A 23387-nucleotide genomic window follows, 5' to 3' on the forward strand; every position below is an offset into this window, starting at 1 on the left:
GAGAGGAAAGCTGGTGAAATTAATTGTATTAATATATTTTATTTAACCTGAGATACCAAACCTTATCTTTTTAATGTATAACCAAAGTAAAAATGTTATTGAGATATTTTGCATTTTTTATATTAAATCTGTCAGATCTGGTATGTAATTTACACTTGCAGTGCATGTCATTGCAGAATACTCACATTTCAAATACTCATCAGCCACATGTAGCTGGTGGCTACTATATTACACAGTGTAGACCTGGGGCTTGAAATGGTATCACATACATAATCATCACTCAATTAAATATTTCTCAAATAAATGAGTGAATAATATTAGTTGACTGGTTTTGGTATATACAGACCAAGTAATAATTTTCTGTGTTATAAAATTATTTTATTGTGAGTCCCAAATGCCTCATTATGAAATTTCTGTATTAAGTAATAGAGAGATCTTTTATGTGGACTTAGAATATTTCTTTTTGGAATAAGGCTGAAGTTCTAAAACAGTTATATGAACAGTAGAATGCAAAATAGCTTGAGTATTCTGAAATTCATTCGTTTGAACTCGTCATTTCATTTTCTTCTGCTGTGTGGAATGAAACTCATATGCTCGTATTTTTATGTCTGTGAAATATGTATTTTTATTCATTAGAAAGAAGTCAACTAATTAGCATTTACTAATCTCCCATTCCTCACATTGTAATATCATTCTCTTTATATCTAAAGGGAAAATTGTTAATATTTCTTTTAAGCCTATAAACTTAATTTCCATTAAGGGAGCTGGTAGTTTGAATGAAGATAACAACATCTTGCAAGTTTTATTCCTATTGTCTGGATTTTTATAGGTTTTTCTATATCGCTTTCATTTGTGGCATTTGTGTAAGATATGTAGTCTGGTGTTTGCTTAATTTTTCTGATTTATATGTTTAACGGTAGAAAAGTTCATCTAAATGATGCAAATTAAAGAATCTCCAAATCTTTCCCCAAATGTCAATAATGCTTAATTATTTTAAATTGCTCATCTGATATTACTTTTAAATAGGGTATTTGAATATCTCAAATTTTCTACAAATATTAAATGGAAAGTCAAAATAATTTGATTGAATCAAAAGGGGACCCAGATTAACTGGCATCAATAATCTAGAAAGTACATTTCCAATAGACAAAAAGCTTTGAAATAAAAATCAATGTATAGCATTGTCCTACTTATGCACAATTTTGTCTATTCCAAGTGAATTTATTTATAGAGAGATGTCTAGAAGGATGCTCGCCAAAGTGTAAGCAGTGGTTATCATTGGCTGATGTGGTTTTGAATGATGTTTACTTAATTTTCATTTAGCTGAACCATTTAGATAGTTTTGTAATGATGCTAAAAAATATTCAAAAATAAGCTTGAAAATATAGATCAAATCGCACTGTCATCACAGAAAATTTGGCATGTAAACTGTAACAGAAATTTCTGTTTCAGAAAAACTATAAATTTTGAGTTTGCCTAGTTCTGTCATTTAATTAATAAGGTATTTAATTTCAATCAACATATAAACTTTATCTGATACATCTTAATGTAGATGAAAACCTAGTAAATAACATTTGTTAAATGTACCGTCTTAAAGCGTGTGCCATTTGTTATTGAATATCTGATGAGTGAATGTACTAGTCAAAAAATCTTTCTCATTTATTCATTTGACAAATATTTATTTATTTATTTATTTATTTTTTGAGACAGAGTCTCACTCTGTCGCCCAGGCTGGAGTGCAGGGGCGCGATCTCGGCTCACTGCAAGCTCCGCCTCCCGGGTTCACTCCATTCTCCTGCCTCAGCCTCCCGAGTAGCTGGGACTACAAGCACCTGCCACCACGCCCGGCTAATTTTTTTTTTTTTTTTTTGTATTTTTAGTAGAGATGGGGTTTCATCGTGTTAGCCAGGATGGTCTCGGTCTCCTGACCTCATGATCCCCCCATCTTGGCCTCCCAAAGTGCTGGAATTATAGGCATGAGCCACTGCGCCCAGCCTCATTTGAGAAATATTGATGATGCAAATAACAAAACATGGTGTGAGTTTGACAGTTTGGAAAGTAGTGGATTTTTATGTGACTCCATTTCACTAATCATAATAAATATTAATAATAGCTACTTTTTATTATGTGCCATTGTGTTAAGTGAATAATCTATATAATCTTTACCACAACCCTTTGGGTTAGATATTATTATTATTGTTATTATCCCTATCTTGCCCAGGAGGAATCCAAGGAACACAGAGGATTATAACTTGTCTAGGATCATGTGACTGTTAAGCGTTTTTGTCAAGTGTGAAGACCAGGCACTTGAGCTGTAGAGCCTGGTGATTTAATCCTTACACTGTACCCAGTGTACTACTGTGTTCACTGACGATGCTTGGTTTGTCTTTGATATTTTAGCAGCAGGCTTTTAAATGTTTTAAATTTATAATTATATTATGTAGAATAACTAAGCACCTAACATTTTTCTATTGCCTAAAATGGACAGTTGTCTTATTATAGTTTTTTTACTATAGATAATTCTTAACTTATCTTTCGACTAAATTGGTGATCTAGCTGAGACAAGTGTCTGACCGTACTACAGGTTCCTCTGCACACAGGTCCCAGATGAAGTTCAGTGACTTGTCCAAGGCTTCACAGTTAGTCGGCGGGAAGGCACGCAAGCCCTGTGTGCTTCTATTTGTCAGGCATAATTATTTTATAAATTTGTACTATTCCTAATTATAAAGGTAATTTTTTAAAAAATTCAACCCATTGGTGGAACTCCTTCAAAATATTCTTGCAATTTTATTTAGTAATAAAATTGTTAAATTGTGGCTCTTAATAGCATTACAAACTAATATTCAAGAGAGTTTAAAGGATCAGAACTGCACAAGTGAGTAAACAGACTTGATTATAAGGACATCTAATTATTCCAAGGTAGGATATAATTAAGTGCTAAAGCTGTGTGATATAAAGACAATAAAGGCTGCAGTGTTTCTAAGGAGGGAATCAAAGAACCGTATTCCTTTGCTGGGCTCTGCTTGCCAAGTTGAAGACTTGAAAAGTAAAACAAAAACAAAGCAAGTTTACACAAGGTCTTATAGTGTTGTCTAGTCTTGTCAATTTGTCTTTTAAAGACACATAATCTTGATTAGTCAATCCTATACCTACCATTCTCATATAATCATATACCAAGGTAGCATATTAATAGTAAGGAAAGTAGCTTAAAAAGGAAAGCAAAAATAGATGGTAATTATCCTTGGTTGTGTGCCAGAAGCATCTTCTTTCGATATTACTGAATTTTGTATGGTAGGCATTGGCTTCCCATTTTACAGATAAGAAGATTGAGGCTCAGAGGATTTCAGGGACATTGAATGAGGTTGTGCTTATTAGTGAAGGAGATATCCAAATCCTAGTGTGCTGTGGTTTTAATTCCATTTTCCCTATTGAATTTTGACAAATCGCCCCCCCCCGCCCCCAACCCCCAACCGTCTGGAAAATCAGGATGCTAGCACTCAACGCTTTTATTCCAGATTGCCAGGTGCCTTTGTGGAGGGTAGAAGGGCTTCTCAGAGTGGTTGGGAAGATGCAGCCATCAGTCTTAAATTGCTGCTTGACCTTGTAAGGAGGGTGTCTAGGAATATAGCATGCAGCTGTGGCTGGACAGGGGCACTCAAGATGGGTTCAGCCAAGCTTGCACTTCCCAGCTCATTAGAAAATCCTACACACTGCCTTGGACAGGCCAGACAAGGCGGGGCTCATTGTGTTGACATGTGGAGGAATACATTTAGCATCCAAGACGAGAATGACTTGAGCAAAACAGAGAAATTAGAGCTAATTGTTTTCAATTATTGTCACTCCCTCTTTATCAAGCCCTCTTTTTTCTTCCACTTTCTCACTGTCCTAGTTTTACTTGCCAGAAGAGGAGGAACTTAGTGAGTCACTTAATGATGTCTGGGTGTAGCTTAGTTTGATGTGTTGCCTTTTTTTGGCCTTGGTTGGTGCGGAGGGCAGGGAATTGCTTTGTACAAAGTCATCAGTCATTAGGAGATGAGCCCAACATGTCTGTTGATGAAGTTGAGACATGTAACCTTGGAATGGTGGTAACAACAGTGACAAGGACAGCAGACATGTACTGGAGGAGTTTTACGTGCCGGGCACTGTGCCAAGTGCTTTCACAGAATTTTATATTTTATCTTTGCAACAATTTCTATGAAATAGGGGCTATGATATTCCAGTTTTTAGATGATTAAACTTATTTGCTCAGAGCAAGTTCTGTTGGGATCACTGGGACCTTCCTGTTATATGATATACCCCACATGCTATTGACAATGGTATTAGCCAGTAAATATTTAAATGTAAAAGTCAGCAAAATCATGCTTAAGTTGGATGGATGAGCAAACTGTACATTTTAAGATGAAATAAATTATTTGTAAATCTGAAGAGCAAACATAAGGTCTGTATATTGCTAGAAAAATGCATTTGAACTATTCTCTCACTCTAATACTGTGTATTTCTGCATTTGTAGTATAAACTGCATCATCGTTGAAGGATAACAAATAGATATTCTATAATTGTGGTAATGTATCTTAATAGAAATAGTGTGCCATAGTCAAAGTGACTTAACTAATCAATATGTTTTATACCATATTTTACATTCCTCTATTGAAAGGTATTCTTTAAGAGATAAGGTGTGCGATTTAGTCCATTTAGCTCCTAATTCCAACTTTCCTACATTTTGAAGATGTATGGTATTTATTTGCATTTTTTTGGGTTTGCTTTATATGCTCATTTGGATCTTACCTATTTTCTTTTTCATTTTAACAGTTACATCCAGCTTTTTAATTGCCTAAGCGGTCTGGGGCTTGCTTCGTCATTTGGCTTTGCTGTGGAGCACTCCTGTAAAGCCAGCTGAATTGTACATCGAAGATCCACCCTTTTGGTGAGTGGAATCATAGCTACAATTTTGTGTTTTGCTCTGCCTCAAGTTGTGTTTGCATTGTTGATCAAAATGCTTTCATACAGGGCACAAAATAGGGCTTTTCCAGCTCTGTGCAGAAAAGGATTTTCTTTTTCTTATGGACAAAAGTAATTTGTACTGCCATTTTCTGTCTTTGAAATTTGCTATTGTCTCTCCCCCTCCCAACCCAATTGAATGACTTTACAATTCTTCAGTCGCATATCTGCCTCTTTTCTACCTGGATAGATCCCCCTGTGACTCCCCGCACCTCACCCCACCAAATAATTTGGTCACCACATTTTTCTTATTTGCTATCTTCACATAGAAATAAACTGTGCTGGTTGTGATTAGCTAGGCTACATAGCATCACATCCTAGAGTGCAAAGGCCTTTTGGATGGAAAAACTTGGCCCTCTTGATCTGTTAAATGTTGTTAATCTATACAGGCCATAAGACAGAAAGCAAAGAGAAAATCATTAAGCTTTTCTCATGTTCCCGGTTAAATTGTTTCTGCTTTTATGGTCCCTGAACTGGTGTTCTCCATATATTTCGACGTCATCTGGCCCCCTATAACAAATGTTTCTCTCAGGTTCTTTCTTAAGACACCTACAACCATTTTCCCCTGGTCCTCTGCTGTTTAGATCTTGCTTTTATCTTTTTACAGATCAAATTCTGCCAAGATGGCTCATTTTGGGGTGGAACAACTAAAGGGTTCTATAAGGACCATTAATGCACTATGCAATTTTAATTTGAAGTCGGGACATCTGACTTAGCTAGAACATCAGCTACAGCATATTTTTAGTAAATTGAATATGTATAGGACTTTATGGTTAAGGATAAGGTGTAAGAGGAGATATTAAAAACTCATAAGTAATTAGACAAACCAGTGGAAAATAGATCTGGATTAAATCCTTTTTCTTCTTTTTTTTAATTCTTGATTTCTAGCTGAAGTTTTTCTGCAAAAGCGAGACATTAGTGAAGACTATGTCTTAGGTGGCCGAGGAAGTAGAAACGGTGGTAAGGACAGGGTGAAGACATGAACACTCTCATGATGGAGGTGTTCATAATACAATGATCAGCCTGGTTGAAACAGTCACTTTAGAAAGTACAGAAGGTGCAGATTATATAATTCCTGAATGGGAATCTCATGAGGCTGTGGTGACAATTAAATGAGATGATGCAATAAAGTACCTAGTCCAGTATTTAGACAAATAGTTAAGGATAAAGGAACGTTGACAGCAGTTCTGGCTCCATTTTGATGGCGAAGTAATTGACGTCCAAGCAACATGTTTTAAATCTACCTGTCTACCACGGCTAGTTTTCCACATTCCTCTTGCTGGCTCCATACGTTTTCATGGGTGCGCGGCCTGAACAGGGAGAATCTTCCATTAGGGTGGTAGCGGTTCTGTTAGGATTGTATTGTGCTTTCCTTCTGATACAGGCATTCAATTTAATAAGCAGTGCTCAGCACACCTTACCCTTCTCTGAAGAATAATTGTTCCCAGTGTCTTGGAGGCCAGCTTCAAATTGGCTGTGCAACCCTGCCTTGGTTAGAAGGCAAGGTGAATAGTTCACAGACCAGGTGCCATTCTTTCCTGGAAGCATCCCCTGGTGCCACTTGCTGTCGTAGAAGCTTGGGTCTGTTTTTGCTATTGTTCTTAAGGAACTCTAACCAAGTGGTTAGGAAATCCATTATAAATGCAGAGTTGTCAATTTTGGAAGAAATAGGAAGGCGTATGGTGAAACAGACCCAAGACTCTGGCATATCCTATGCTAACCCATCTGTCCTCTCCCAGCAAGTAACAGACCAGAAAACTGCAGAGTTAGAGAGAGAGAGAGAGAGTTTCATGGGGGAGAACCTGGTAGAATGGAGCCTGCCATGGAGAATGAAGCCTTTGTTGAGGCTTCCTAGAGGGTTTCCCCGTTATACCCAACAACCATCCCTTATCTTCCTCTTGGTCGTTCATCATCCTAACCTCATCATCTAATTTAATCTTCTAACTCAGTTTTCTGGTAAAATGTGACAAGACGGTTTTTTGGTGCAAGGTGATTGGGAAAGTAGGTAGAGGATGGTAAGGAATGGCATGGGGATGTGGGAAGAAAAAGGCAAGGCTACATGGTGCTGGGAACTTCCTTGAGAATAAAAGCAAATCTTAGAATCTCAAGTTCAGAGGATGAAAGCTTGAACAACTTGCTGAAGTTCTCAGGTGTTTTACAGTGACCTGGCTGACAAGCTGGCCTGCACATTCATTCAATTCTTTCATAACGTGTTGCCGTCATGTGATAGGGCAGTATTTTCATAATTCACTACTGCAACCAAAAATGTTTCCAATTATGGCTAAATAACAAGCCAGTCATTGATGCAGGGCCTGGCTTGCAGAAAACTCCTACGAACTTTTAGAAGAACTTCCTCCTGCTAACTGCCTGGCATTACATTTCATTGAACCTGTTTTCAAGAAATACCCACCTACTTGCAAAAGGGCCCTACAAGGCTTCTGCCCTCTGCTGCTCATTTAGAGTGTCATTCTGAGCTCTAGTAGAATAAATGAGAATAGCTTTGCCAGGCAATAAGGGGCTTTATAAACATAAGCCAGTCTTTTCCCAGGTTTTCAGTTCCCAGACCAGCCCTGGCTCTTTCCTTTTCATGTAAGCTTATGCCCGAAGTTTTAAATGCCATTCTCTTTGCTCTTTAAGAGGCAGTATCCTAAGGTATACAGCTTTTCTGGCCAGGGATCTACCTTAAACATAACATACAAAAAAATCAACCTTTTGCTTAATGAAGTTGTGTATAGAGTGGTTTTTATTCCATGTTGGATTCAGAGAAAACACTAGGTATAAATGTAGATTCTTATAGTTCTAGGGCAGCCGTACCTACTTTCAACCAGACTAGGATGAAATGCAAGAAGTGCTTCTTTCATCTTCACTAAAAATATGATTTTTGTCTGTTTCTCATTGTTTAAAATATGAAGATAAAAGAGAAAGACAGTAAAAAATCATAGGAAAAAATCCTAATATTTTTAAAGATTGCCTTTGATAAGAGCTACACAAAGCACATATTTTTCAATATTATTAAAATGAAACCATACTTTAGGGAGAAGTTTGAAGAAAATCAAGAGACCTACATAGGGAATATGTTTTAGGCAATGCATCCTGCTGTGGCGTGATGTGTGGATTTAACTCCCTATCAGTAGAATACAAGCTGACATTTTCACTTTTCTTCCCGTTTAAATGGTTCATAATAGTCGCTATATACTAAATATATAAGTGACCAAGTCTCTTTTAAGAAATAAGATTAACGCATTTTTCTCTAATATAAAATCCATTTCCATATAAATACTTAAATTATTAGCACCCCCCTGTTGAAAGTATTACACTGAGCTCTTTTATCCTTTTCATTTTCTGTCAGCATAGAAACACCCTTTAATACTCAAAAGCTAACCTTTAAGATGAGTGCATTTTGAGCTGTTCTTCTTTTTTCTTTTTTTGACAGAGTCTCGCCCTCTGTTGCCCAGGCTGGAGTGCAGTGGTGCGACCTTGGCTCACTGCAACCTTCATTTCCCAGGTTCAAGTGATTCTCCTGCCTCAGCCTCCCAAGGCATGCACCACCATACCCAGCCAATTTTTGTACTTTTGGTAAAGACAGAGTTTCACTATGTTGGCCAGGCTGGTCTCGAACTCCTGACCTCAAGTGATCCACCCTCCTTGGCCTCCCAAAGTGCTGGGATTACAACCATGAGCCACTGTGCCTGGCCTGAACTGTTTTTTAAACTACACTATATGCAAGTCATGCAATACTACATATTTCACAAAATATTTTGTTGGAAATGTAAAGAATAAAATAGAACTTAGTGTAACTAGAACTAATATAGGATGCCTGTGGTGTTTAAACTTAACAATTATCATGGGAAAATGGAGAAAGGAACAGCTATTAAATATATGTCATATACCATTTTTAAACTTTTTTTTCTTTTTAGCATAAATTATGTTATTTAACCATCAAAAGTAAAGTCTTCTTTAATCCTGAAAACTGAGGTCCCAATAGGTTACATATCTTGCTCAAGTTTGTACAACTAGGAGGGAGGAAAAACGTATTTTGTCTTTCAGTCTGTTACTCCAGATCCTAATCCACTGTTTGCACTTTTTGGACAAGAAAATAATGAGATTATTCTAGAGAAAGACATACATTATCATAAAGAATATGATCGGATAAGCCATGATTTAGTAAATTAATTATGTATTTTTAAATCATGCCTTGTTTGTTTAAATTCCCATTGTCACTTATGCTGAAGTGAGAATAGTGTGCTCATTTATGTTTGTCAACTACCATTGGGTTGTGGATTTTGGTTTACAAACCTTTTAGTGTATGAATCAATAAGGTATTTGTAACATGAACTAAGAAAAGTAATTATAAAACATTACTGAAAATTTTAGGTAGCTCATTTGGAAAACTGAGCGGGAATCTCTTTGAATGGCTCACTTTACTAGTATAAAACAGTTATAAAAAAGGCAAAGTAGTCCAGAGGTGTTTGTTGTATCATTGGAACTATGCAAACCAGGAGAAGCGAATAGAAAGGAGTTTGGGCAAAATCAAGCATTTTAACTAGGTGTTGAGAAAATATAAGAAAAATAAATTATAAATCTGTTTTGACTAGAACACTAAAAGATAAATATTAGATGTTAATTTAATAGAAATTAAATATAATTATATATAATATAAACTATAAGTAAGTCAAAGGATTATAGTTAAGGTCAAGTGGGTATGTTTGTGTGTGTACATGCATACCATACTCAGGTCAATAGAACATGGGTTACAAAAGTGGGAATGTTGGGCCGGGTGCAGTGGCTCATGCCTGTAATCCCAGCACTTTGGGAGGCTAAGACGGGTGGATCTCCTGAGGTTGGGAGTTCGAGACCAGCCTGACCAACATGGAGAAACCCTGTCTCTACTAAAAATACAAAATTAGCCAGGTGTGGTGGCACATTCCTGTAATCCCAGCTATTTGGGAGGCTGAAGGAGGAGAATCTCTTGGACCCGGGAAGTGGAGGTTGCAGTGAGCAGAGATCTCGCCATTGCACTCTAGCCTGGCCAACAAGAGCAAAACTCTGTCTCAAACAACAACAACAACAACAACAACAACAACAACAACAACAAGGCACGTTAATAAGGAGTATGGGTATAATATTACAATCATATAGAGAAAGTAAATAAATACCTTTAATTCTTGTTATTCCCAACAGTCATGTTCCTTAAAGTCTCTGTGAACACAAAATTAGCGAATACAGAACTATTGCTCCTCTGGCAAATAGAGTTAGGAAATGGCAAGCCTCTGGTCACAACATTTTCATCAAAAAACCAACAGATCAATATATAACCTTGCTTTTTGTGTGCTTCTGTTTAAAGACATCTTATTGAATATAAACTATTGATTTCTTAACATTGCAGTCATGGTCAATACAATACAACTCTTGCCTGAGAAAAGCTTCTCCAACACAGCCTTTTTGTGCTTAGGATCTCTAGACAGCACTGCAGTACCATGCTTGGGGGCCATGTTAGACAGCGATATCACAAACGCACAAAATATGAAAAACGTGGGACTCCCTAGAGAGGGAAAAAGACACTTGTTTGCAGTGTGAGAGCTGAAACAACAAGGCAGAGGGTCACCTTGTTACACCTCAGCTGGAGCATGCATGCTGGATTATTCAAATATTTTGGCCCTCTGCACATGTCCATGAATGACCAAGAAAGTGCTATTAGTGTTCATTTTGGGGTTTCAAATAAATTTTAGTCCATGGGCAAATTCACAAATATGGAATCCACAAATACAATGCCTCTCTGTCTTTGTCTTTGTCTCTCTGTCTCCCTCTCTCTCTACGTATATACATCCATATATATATATACACACACACACACACGCATATTATATATATATAATATAATATAATGTATATATATATTTGAGACAGAGTTTTGCTCTTGTTGCCCAGGCTGGAGTGCAATGGTGTGATCTCAGCTCACTGCAACCTCCGCCTCCCAGGTTCAAGAGATTCTCCTGTCTCAGCCTCCTGAGTAGCTGGGATTGTGGGCATGCGCCACCATGCCTGGCAAATTTTGTATTTTTAGTAGAGACAGGGTTTCTCCACATTGGTCAGGCTGGTCTTGAACTCCCGACCTCAGGCGATCCACCCACCTCGGCTTCCCAAAGTGTTGGGATTACAGGCATGAGCCACCACACCCGGCCTAATATATATTATATTACTATATTTTATATACATACATAATAATATTAAGACAGCTCACATCGGTATGTGAAATGCCTTAACATAATTTTTGAAGTGCGTTTATAAAGTTTATCTTCGAACTTCTTGCTAAACAAAGCCCAAATTGAAATGTGTTCCTTTGATATATCTATGTTGCCTAAATTGAAAAGAAAGTGCCATAGCTACTTCGAGGAAACAAAGATTTCTCTAATGCTTAGGTCTGATAGAAATTTTTCACCTGAGCCTTCACATGAAAAGATGTTGTAATACAACCAGTATCATCTGTAAACTAAATCCAGCAGTGGGCCTTCTACAACCATGTCTTAAAGTATGTTCCTGATGACAGTATAATGAACATAGTTATATGTGGATTAAACTGAAGTTCAGACAGACAGCTTTTCATTTGTCCTGCATGATCCAAGGTTAAAACTTGAAATAAGTAAATGTTGCGTATCTTCCTGGTTACCTTCCACAAATGCAGCATCTTTCATTTGTAAATAATTTTTATAAGTTGAATAGAAGATAATTGGGATGGGTGTCTAAAATATTGGTCTTCTCTTTAGATGATTAAGTAACATGTTTTTAATAATTCATAAATGATAAGATATTGGTATTGGTCTTCTAGGCAAATTATCAGAGATTTTTTTTCTATTATCCTTTGTGTTGGTGACGGTGTGGTATGGAGAATTACTAATCACTCTTTATGGGAACAAGAAGTGCTGAGGACCTAAAAAGGCTTACAACTTTTGAACCTGTTATTATACATTTAACATTTTTTGCTAAGAGAAGAATCAACACGGATAGAAAGATACATTTCAAAGATGTTCCTGAATGAATGATTTGAAATAGGAACAATTTCTTCCACTCCTTCACCTTGGCACTGTGTGGTTGCCATTTGTGCACACTTACCCCACCTCTGTGTGGTCTTGCTTCTCACAGCTGCTCCTGTGATTCTCGTGGGAAGCCTTTCCTCGGGATGCTAAAATAAATAAACAAATGAATGCATAAATAAGTAAATAAATATATAAAATAAAATAGAAGCAATTTGAAAACAACCTAGAATTCTACAAATAAGGGCTTGATTAAATAATGACATCCAAATGTCGAAGTGCTGTATATTCCTGAAAAAATGTATCTTCTCAAAGAATATGTAAGAATATAAAAATACCTTTCCATATTGTTTTTAAAAGAATGCGTAGCCTGATGCCAGTATAGTTATATTAAAAATGTACCAAAAGAACACTTTTTATAAAAGGGCAAAAAGGACATACCAGAAAATGTTAATAGTGGTTATTTCTGGAAAGAGAGTTAATGGAGCATTTGTATTTTCCTATGCTATTTTTTTAGTATATTTTTCTGACTTTCTACCATAATTTTATGTTACTGATCACATATTAGCATATGATACATTCTAATCAAATTGAGAAGTTTATCTTGGATGTTAAGCCATTCTACCCCTACCAACAATGTAGATATATTATTTTTATGAGAAAAAATCAATATCTTCAAGCAGAAGATGGTGCTATTTATATCAAGTATTATGGACAGCCAACATAAAGGGGAAAACATATCTTTAGAAAACAAAAGACATGATATTTTTTCACTTGGTATTTATGATCATAAATACCAATTTTATGATCATAGATCAAGGTATTTATGATCCAAGGTATTGCTTCCTGGGTATTGCTGACATAACCTTTCTCGTTTCATACCATTATTAACTTAAAAATTAATCTACTGAGTGTTCTTTGTGTGCCTTTTAGGAGAATATAGTGAGTTAAATAATATAAATGGTTTTTAAAAGTTTCTAAGCCTTTTTTTTGCTTTTTAAAAGTTTCAATTACATTGGAAGAACTAGTTGGTTCTTTAAAAAATAAATAATATGAAATTCAGAGGAAAGAGTTATTGTAGTTATTATTGCAGGCAGAAAGCAAAGGAGAAAGCATCTGAAAGAAAGAATGAATGGTGCAGAATGAGCTGTAAATAGGGATTTGCTAAGCACACTGCAGAATAATAAGGCCTGCTTATTGAGGGCCTATTACATGCCAGCTACTGAGTTAGACATTCACTGCAGCCACTTCAAAACATTGACCAGGATGTTACACAGGAATTGATATGATCTCACTTCAGAGATGATATTAGACAGCCTCCCAACCTTACACGGCTAGTGAATGGCAGCAGAAAGATTCAAAGACCACTCTTCTGTTGTTTTTCCTACTTACTGAGTCCTCATCCCAGGCACAGAACGTTTATTTCTTGCCTCTTGTCGTTTCAGTTTCTTCTGCAAAATTGTGTTAAAGTGACTTGCCCAGGGTTGCAAAATAAACGGTCAAGCTGGGAACAAGGTCTGTTTGACTTAGAGCCTGGGTTTAATCTGTGACTGCTCTTAAACTCGACAGCTCTATGAGTGTAAAAGTGCTTTCCTCATAGTGTGTTAGGAGAATCAATTAGTATTAATGTGTGAAAGTGCTTACAACAAGGCTGGGCATAAAGTGAGCATTCTATTATCATGTTTTGTTCTTCTTATTATTACTACTATGATTACTACAGCATTATTACCAGAAGAGCGAAATGCATATCAGTAGTGGTATGGGAGGACATTTAAATGATTAACAGAATAGGGAGATTTTTTTATTTTGTATTTCATTTTATTTATTTATTTATTTATTTTGGGATGGAGTCTCACTCTGTCGCTCAGGTTGGAGTGCAGTGGTGTGATCCCGATTATTGCAACCTCCACCTCCCGGATTCAAGCAATTCTCCTGCCTCGGCCTCCCAAGTAGCTGGGCATACAGGCGCCTGCCACCAGGCTCAGCTAATTTTTTTTGCATTTTTAGTAGAGACGGGGTTTCACCATGTTAGCCAGGCTGGTCTCAAACTCCTGACCTCAGGTGATCTGCCCACCTTGGCCTCCCAAATTGCTGGGATCAGGCATGAGCCACCATACACAGCCGAAGTGAGATATGCTGTTTTCAAATTTCTTTTGACACAGTTGTTACTTCAAGAAGAGTATCTTAGTTTGCAACTACTGTGACTCTAATAACTCTCTTAAACTTGCTAATACCTCTATTTTAGGAAAAAAGTAGTAGGTTCACATACAGAACTTTTATTAGCCAATAGTTTCTAGTTTGAAATTAGGAGCTTTTTAAAAATTAATTTATTTTTACAATTACTTTCTATTTACAGTAAATAATACTGTTTTTAAAATGTTTAAGTCTTTTATAATTGACTTTTAAAATAATGTTTTAAAAAATAATTTTAAAAAATGTATCAAGATCAACACAAATAATAAGGAATAATGCCAGTATTATTAATTGTTGGTGGCCATTGGGAAGGCAATGCTGGAAAGACGGTTGGGAAATATTGCAGTATATGAAATTGGCAAAAAAAAAAGAAAAGCAAACTCTAGGGAGCAACCACTGTGACCCAAAAGAAAGATTTACATAAATAATTTGTGGGAGATAAGGTTGGTAAAACTCTCTTTTTTTCTCCTTTCACTAGAAAGCAGTGCAAATGTGTGAGACTCAAGCAGCACTGGTCCGTTGATGCTTCTTGGGGAAAACTCTTCCCTAAACCATAGCACTCAGACGAGGGTTATGTGTGGCCACTTCTTCTGTGATTTAAATTCAAGGAGGAAATCTTTTTGGACTAGCCAATTTTATTCAGGTTTCTCATCTTATGAATCTGTGCTCTGGGAAGACAACCACCATATCTGGCTTCCTTATTACTAAATCTCCACTGCTTCACCAACTGCTTGGGACATAATAGGTGATCAATAAATAGTTTTTCTGGATGAATGAATAAATTCTGTCCACAAAGCGTCCTTCACTGAGCTTGTTTTAGATTTATGTGATTACATCTAAGAACTTGGATGGGGCTGACATAGGAAAAGGGAATTAATTCTAAATTTAATAGATGTATGACCTTAAATGAGGCCAGCAGTGTCATTGCAGAAGTGCTTGGGAGACCTGCCACTGTCAAGTGAAATGCCGGTAGCACAAATTGAGATATTAAATTGATTCAAGAGGTCCAATGCGCACATGGATATCACTCCTGGGAAGACCATTAGGGGCTTCAGGAGAGGAAATGTTACTGCCCACCAAGTTTCCTTGAAGGAACAAATCAGTTTGACTCATCAGCAGTCTTTATGGATTGCCAGCTGTGGGCCATTCCAGAGCAAAAAGATTATGCCTCTGCATAGTGACACTGCTATTTTAACAGGACATGGAACAGGATGATTCATGAGACAAATAATTCTGTTCTAGACTGTGTGTGTGCATGCATGTGTGTTCAAAGTTAAGGATGTCAAGGTAAATATTTCAGAAAAGTTACCTGAGGGTGCTAATCTAGCCCCCTAGAGCCTCCTTGTTATATAAATCACGTACTGAAGGTCATCAATTTAGATTTGAATGTGTGAAATTAGCCATTTATAAGATAGTTCTGCTGTTGGTGTGTTTCCTAATTTGGGTATAAGAAATGGTAGTGACATTTTTTTTTTGTTATAGATAGTTTGTAACCAGAGATGCCACATCACACTTTCTCAAGTTCCCTGAACAGTGATAAGATGAATTTATCAAACAAAACCTCTCTGCCTTTGCTGAAAAATATTTTGAATGTGTATTTGTGTATCCAAGATTTTGGCTCTGAAGACCTATAAGCTCAGTGTTTTGGGATTGCTTTGAAAAGCCATTTTAGTTATATATATATATATATATATATATATATATATATATATACAGATCAGATTGAGAATTTTCCCAAAATGTAGATATATTTTAGACTAAATGTTGAAATTCAGTAACAGCAACAACACCAGCAACCATAACAACAATAATAATACATTCTGGAACTTAATAATAGCAAGCACATGGAGACCACGTGATATCGTGGGCCAACTCCGTTAAGGATTAAACATACATTATCTCATTTAATTCCCACAACACTCCATGGTACACTATGTCATCACTTTGGCACTCCCTTAAACTTCTGTTACTCAGCCAGCCTCACCTGACTTTTTTCTCAGCTTCTATCTCCTGCATAAGCAGAATGCAACAGTGAAATAGCAATATTTTCTGGCACAACTCAGGGTGGCATGATGTTTATTATAAAGCAGGAAGATCTAAATTTGTTTAGTCCATTGGCATTATGTCAGTATCAAAGCCCTAACTGATGTAATGCATGACAGCTTTCTGAATAAGTGACACCCACTCAATGAATGTCTTGACCAGATACTCCAGGGAAAAAAATACTACGATACATACATTTTTGTTAAATAAGGCTGTTATTCATGTTACCTATGATGCCTTTAACATTAGGGCCCTAGTACATAATTTGCCCAATTCAAATGATAGAATTATTTATTATCAAATTTGCAATTCCAGATCTCCAAATTACTCTTTTGCATCCTTGAAGGCTACCTGAAGTAATAAAGAAATTCCTCTGCCTTTGAGTGACTCCAAGAGACAATGTAAAGGCAAGACACAGCAGCTTCATGAAAGCTCAACATAAATTTGAATATGCTCTGAAGAGGGGGCAGTTGTCACCATGGTGATTTTATTCTTTCCTAGATTGAGCTCAAAATCAAAGGGGAGGAGTTTTTAAAGCAAAGATGCTGAAATAGGTGAATCAAAAATCTGGATAAAATTTCCAATTGTTATTCAAAATACAGTCCTTCGTTTGATGTTTGGAGCCTATATTTGGGATCAGATACTCAAGATAATGATTGTTAGGTAGCCTGAGAGAGTGTACTTCTATTGTTAGAATATTGTTAGGTAATTGGAAAGCTATCTAATTATTATTAATATTCTGCTAAAAATGATTACACTGGCCTTTCCTCCACTAACATTACTGACTGTTTACTATTCACTAGGCAATATGTAATGTTCTTTGCATGCATTATTTTATTTAATACTTATAAAAATCTATGAGATAGATGTTACGGCTATTCCCATTTTAAAGATGAAGAAACTAAGGTTTATGCATTCATAGCAAGCATTTTTATAAGGATACATCACTGCAAAAGAAGTCTGATTCAAAAGCTCCTGTCTTTATGAAGTTGTGTTTTACTGGTTTGTCTAGATCACACAGCTCCTAAGTGGCAGATATAGGATGCAAACCCAGGCTGAAATTATTAAACTCTATAATAAATAATGTTCAATGCCTATGTCAATAATCTGTGATTTTAGAAGCCTTATTTAAGATTGGACATGCCTACAGGTCGAAGTTTTAAGCAGTACAGGTAGGAAGGCTGCTGATGTGAGCCTGGAGTGCTCACGGCGATCACTACTCTTGTATTGATCACTATGAGAATTTCAGGAATATGCTACCAAGGATACAACTTCTTTCCAATCACATGTTACCTAGGAGAAGTCTCACTAGACCTCTGACAATTCCTCTCACCCACAACTGAAGGATGATTCTATTCCAGTTGGGAAGGGCCTTCTCATAAACTGAGAATATGAAGCAGAGATTTATCAAAACCAACCCTGGCTGCTGTTACAGTGACAGATGTCACAGCTAGACCACCCTCAAACAATCCTGGAATGACTCTTCAGAATTCTGCACATGCCAACAGCCATTTTCAAACACCACAATTTTTTGCTTATGTTCTCCCTCTCGCTTTCTATGTGACCTTCATCAGCAAGTCCTTTCCATGGCACCTCTGGTTTCTGACTTTCAAAATTGGAAAGAACAATTTTTGCCTCTTAGAGAAGTCGCTGGGATTCTGGGACATGCGTATCTTGGTGAAAGTTAAGCAGCATTTGGGAGTCTTGACCCTCTTCCTCATGGCCCCGAGGTCCTAGTGTTTTTCAATTCTGAAACAGAGGTCAAAACCACCTTTCTTTGTATCTTCGTAAATACTCAGGAGAATGCCTAGCCAATAGCTCCATTTCCCCTGAGGAAATGCATAGGAGCCAGCTGCTAAGTGCTGGAGTTTTCATGCACCTGTTTGTTTATTTTTTTAAACGTAATTGGGAATATGCCTGGAAGCATGAGTCTATTTCTCCAGTGCACTCTAAGCAGATTTAGGCATACAGAAGACAATCACAGCCTTGTATTGTGCATCTATTGCATCTGTAGTTCTCCAGTTGGTGTTCTGCAAAGATAAAACGATCAGAAAGTGCCCGGAATGCAAATTTTAAATGGGGAGATGAGACACTAAAAAATAACCAGGAACATTAATTAAAAAACCAACATAGTAATCATAATCCCTTATCAGGGACTATAAAGCTTTTTATCAGTGTTTTTCAATGTTGGCTGTGTTTTAATATCCTCTAGGAAACTCTAACACACACACGCACACACACACACACACACACACACACACACACACACACAGTGCCTGGGCTCTACCTTCAATGATTGTGATTTAATTGATCTGGGGTGGGGTCCATGTATCCATATTTTACAAAAGCTATTCAAGATGATATGGTGCAAGCTGTTCAAGATGATATGGTGCAGACCTAGGAGCCACCTCAATGCCTACCTTTCACCCTCCTTTCTGTGCACCTGCCCCCATGCCCAGATGCTGTGGTCAACTGCCGTGCCTTGCGTTCAAACATACAAACCTCATGCCTCCTTTAGAGTCTTTGTTCTATTTTGTCCCTCCTATAAAAATGTTCTTTACATAGATCTTTGCATGGCCTTTCCTTCTGTGCCATTTAGTGCTCAACGCACGTCACCTGTTTGCAATCTACATGAGCAGAACTTTCTAGAGTTGTACAGTTCACAAGACGGGTGGCCATAAACTGTAGCTCTGCCTTCCCTGAAACTTGGCAGTCTTTCTGGTTACTCTTAAATCAACTTGTTCTATTATTTCCTCTCCAAGTTTTGAACTGAAACCAATTTGTTTATCAGATTTTTTTAACCTCCTACAATTAAAATTCAGGGGCTAAGAGAGCAGGAACTTCCTCTGACTTGTTCAGTGCTATATTTCTAACACATAGAATAGTACCTTGCATACAATAGGTGCTCAGTTAATATTTGTTAAATGAACGTTCTGTGCGTGATTCACGGAGCTTAGAATCTCTGACCTAATGCAGTAATATAAAGTAGTAGGAGTTCATGAGGATATCTTAATAGCAGAGACACGATTCTGAGTAGATTTCAAATAAAGAGAGCATATTGGGAGAGTGTTTTTTATAGGTGGAGCAATATCTCTCTTTTTTTTTTTTTTAAAACAGAGTCTTGCTCTGTTGCCCAGGCTGGAGTGCAGTGGCACAATTTTGGCTCACTGCAACCTCTGCCTCGTGGGTTCCAGCAATTCTCCTGCCTCAGCCTTCCAAGCAGCTGGGACTACAGGCGTGCGCTACCATGCCTGGCTAATTTTTGTATTTTTAGTAGAGACAAGGTTTCACCATATTGGCCAAGCTGGTCTCAAACTCTTGACTTCTTGATCCACCTGCCTTGGCCTCCCAAAGTGCTGGGATTACAGGCGTGAACCCCTGCACCCAGCCATGGAGCAATATCTCTTAAGAGCTGGAGCAAGTCATGCTCAGAGTGGAACAAGCTAGTTAGCTTGGCTGGGATGACCAAGCTGTAATTATTAAAATTAATTCAATCTCATTAGATAATAAAGTCATCCAAAGTGAAAATAGTCCTGTATTTGGAAATAAATCACAATTGGGTCTAAAGCAAATGTCCCTAAGTAATATGATGATACCTGACATGGAGAACATACAATGTCTCCAATTCTCACTAAAAGTTAGAAAGTGTTCGGGCGCGGTGACTCATGCCTGTAATCCCAGCACTGTGGGAGGCTGAGGATGGTGGATCACCTGAGGTCAGGAGTTCGAGACTAGTCTGGCCAACATGGTGAAACCTGCTCTCTACTAAAAGTACAAAAATTAGAGGGGCGTGGTTTTGGGCACTTGTAATCCCAGCTACTCAAGAGGCTGAGGCAGGAGACTCGCTTGAACCTGGGAGGCGGAGGTTGCAGTGAGCAGAGATCGGGCCACTGCACTCCAGCCTGGGTGATAAGAGCGAGACTCCATCTTTTAAAAAAACAAAAGAAAAAAGAAAAAAAAACAGTTAGAAAGCTATTTATTTTTTAATTAATACTCACAGAAAACTGAAAAGTAGCTAATACCAATAATGATACTAACTACTGCCGTTTATTTAGTGTTTCCTTCTTTGATGGCATTGCATAATGATATTCAGTACATCATTTTAACCCTCACAGAAAACTTAAGAGGTAATTAATATTCACAGTTTACCATCGATAAAAGTGAGACTTGGAAAAGTCAAGCAGTTGACTGAAGTCCCACCTCAAGTAAGTGGCTGAAATGAGATGTGAGCCCAGAATGAGGAACTCCAACGTTTCTGCATTCATCCAAAATGCTGTACCACTTTATTTAGACGCAGTTTCGTTTAGTGAGACCTGATAATCACAAGCCTTCCATAATAATTGTATCTCATGAAATTAAGATTTTAATGAAACAAATGGAAAGTCTTCAAATAAAAATTTCTTGTAAACTTTTTCAGTCCAGCATTTGGAGCTAAGAATATGCTTTTGCAAAGAAGAATGTTATAAATAGTGCTCAGGTTCTCAGGCCAGAGAAGCCAAAAATTGTAATTATATTTCTGAACACTTTCTTAAATAAGAAGGGGAAGTAGCTTTTATTTTGCATGTTTTTTGCATGATATGGGTTATTTTTAATTACTGTGATAGCATATAACACTTAAAAATAGAGAGACAAAATAGTTTGCTACATTTTAACATGCTGTACTAATATTTAAGCAAAATAGGCAAAACAAATGCCTATTCAATTTTTGGTTTATCCTTAAATTGAATGCTGATGCTTGGTAATGGTTTAATTAAAACAGGGTGAGAAAGACATTTGGGAGATTTTGTATAGATTCCAAAAGAGATTAGGGGCTCTTTCAAAGAATTAACATGGATTGTAATTGTTTTTTATTTTATGTGATTTCATTTAAAACTGGATTTTTTTTTCTTTTTGTGCAACAGTATCATTTCTCTTAAAACATACCAAATTTAGGAGGGGGATTGTGGCAGATATTGAACAGGATGTGTATGCCAAAGATATACCAAAACACAAGTGCATTACATATATTATCAAGCATCAGGAATTAAAGACAGAAGAGAATGGATGAGCAGGAGAGATTTTAAGGAAGAAATATCACTTCGCTCAGGCCTAGTTGACAAGCAGTTCTTGGCCTGGACCACTTTACTTGCTTTTCAGAGTCTAGAGATCTGGACAAAGGGGCTGTAGGTTAGATAGGAGCTCAGCGAGGAAGGGGGTATCAGTTCTAAGGACTCACCAGGCAAGGCTGATCTGCAAGGCCTGGGTGCTCCTAGCTCAGGGGAGGAGCTACTTTCTCTTCACTTGTAGAGGATTGACAGAAGATAGAAAAAGCTAATTCCTGTTGAATTCAGGTACCAGTACAAAGAAGGTACCAGTTTCAGATAAACAGCCTCAATTAATATTGAGTGCACAGGTGGGCTTATTTTTCTTTTCTTTTTTTAAAATAATTTATTACTGTAAGAGAAGAATGGTAATAAACCATTCTAGTGTATTTTCTTTAAAAATTGGAGCTACTGCTGGTTTGTTTTTAAAACAAATAGTTAATTCAAAACCAACAGAATTCTTAAAAAAAAAAGATGGTAGTTGCTTATTTACTTCATTTCAAAGGTTTTTTTTTTTTTTAAATTCAGTCTCCCTAGCAACAGAGACATCTGTCTCTATTCTCTTAGTCATTAAAGCCAAAGAAAGTAGCTGCTTCAAAAATAATAAAGGCAATTTCTATGAATTGGGTAACTGTTAATTGTTGCCAAGAAATCTTAGTCAGATAATGAGGCATACAGCAATTGACAAAGATCTTTTCACTGATGTATGAGCTTCCAGCTAGCCCATGGTTGTTAACTAATATATACAGTACCATCGATGAGGTATTGTGTGATTCGCTATGTAACACAAATAGAGAAGTGATCTTTACTCCTCTAATTTCTTTCAGAAGTATGCCTTGCTGTGATTTTTTTTGATTGCTTAGTAACTAATCATACCTCGGGATTCCAGGGAATATATTTGCCCATTACATTTCGTGAAAGGAGAAAGGTTTGAAGCATTCACAAGGGACATCAATGCAACAAATAGTAGAGTAGTTGGTGGTGGTGTTAAAACACAATATACTTCTTATTTGTGTTGTAGATTCTGTAAAGCCATTTGAGTGAAAATACTTAAAATTGCACTAGATTCTAAAATGTATATTGGCATTTGTGCTAAAACTGTTTGCAGGCCCTTTATAATGAAACCCCAGTCACCCTCTGCAATAGCTTCACTAATAAACACAAAACAGTTTTTCAACGCTTTCTGCTTTCCCAGCAGCCAAGGAAGCAAATTATATTAAGTCAGTATTTTTTATTATTGGCCCTATGTTTGGCACATGCCTGGCTGTATGTGAAACTACTGTTAAATGGGAAATAACAGAAGGAGAAACCAAGCATATAGAAGCTGGGGTTTTTTTTGTGAATTTTTTTTTAAATAAGAAAATACAGCTCTGATAACCAGATGTGGAACAGCTTATTGCAATATTGTCTTTATAAGCCTATTTTCATTTCCTGGGGGCTGGGGGAACTTTTACAAATGCAAAGTGTCAAAAATGCTGATTCTAATTTCAAAATTAGGATATTTACAAAATTTACATATGTATGGATAACTGTCATTGAAAATACAATGGATACTAAAGCCGTATCAATTTTAGCAGAGATTTGAACAAGAATTTTGCTTTTATTCTAGCATGTTGTGATATACTTATAGTACAGATAAGAAATAAGGGAACTAAAACATGTGTTTAACCTCACAATGGCATTTGTTTGATGTCAAATTGTAGGCATATATATAGTCAGGTACATTATACAAGTCATTAAGGCATTGCTGGTAAAGAGTTGGAGAAGAACTTAGAATAAAAACGCAAGCATAGTTAAGCAAATCCTTTTAGTTTAGGGATATTTTTATAATTTGTGCAGTATTTTTCTCTAATAATCCTCTAAATACAGATATTTCTAGTAAATGCTTATGAATGTAAATGAATAAAAGACATTATCTTTAAAAAATTACAGTTTTCATCTGCATAATTTCACACTGTTAAGGTGACAAACTGTTAATTTCCTTTCAAGATGCTTCTAATATAATGAAAGTAGAAAGAATTTTGTCTAACAACCAAGTAGA

At 36.7% G+C, this 23387-nt stretch overlaps 1 protein-coding gene across 9 annotated transcripts in view; it reads left to right on the forward strand.

Moving 5' to 3' along the window:
• The window catches only part of TENM2 (teneurin transmembrane protein 2), a 1285129-nt gene that overhangs the window by 89404 nt on the left and 1172338 nt on the right, over window positions 1–23387 (forward strand). For all 9 annotated transcript variants that reach the window (XM_047417418.1, NM_001395460.1, XM_017009661.2 and 6 more), the window contains one exon: window positions 4810–4924. The gene's annotated coding sequence lies outside the window, so the exon portion shown is untranslated. Of the gene's footprint in view, window positions 1–4809; window positions 4925–23387 lie in introns of those variants that run through there.

This window comes from Homo sapiens, chromosome 5, assembly GCF_000001405.40.
Source record: "Homo sapiens chromosome 5, GRCh38.p14 Primary Assembly".
In the NCBI taxonomy this organism is placed as follows: Eukaryota; Metazoa; Chordata; class Mammalia; order Primates; family Hominidae; genus Homo; species Homo sapiens.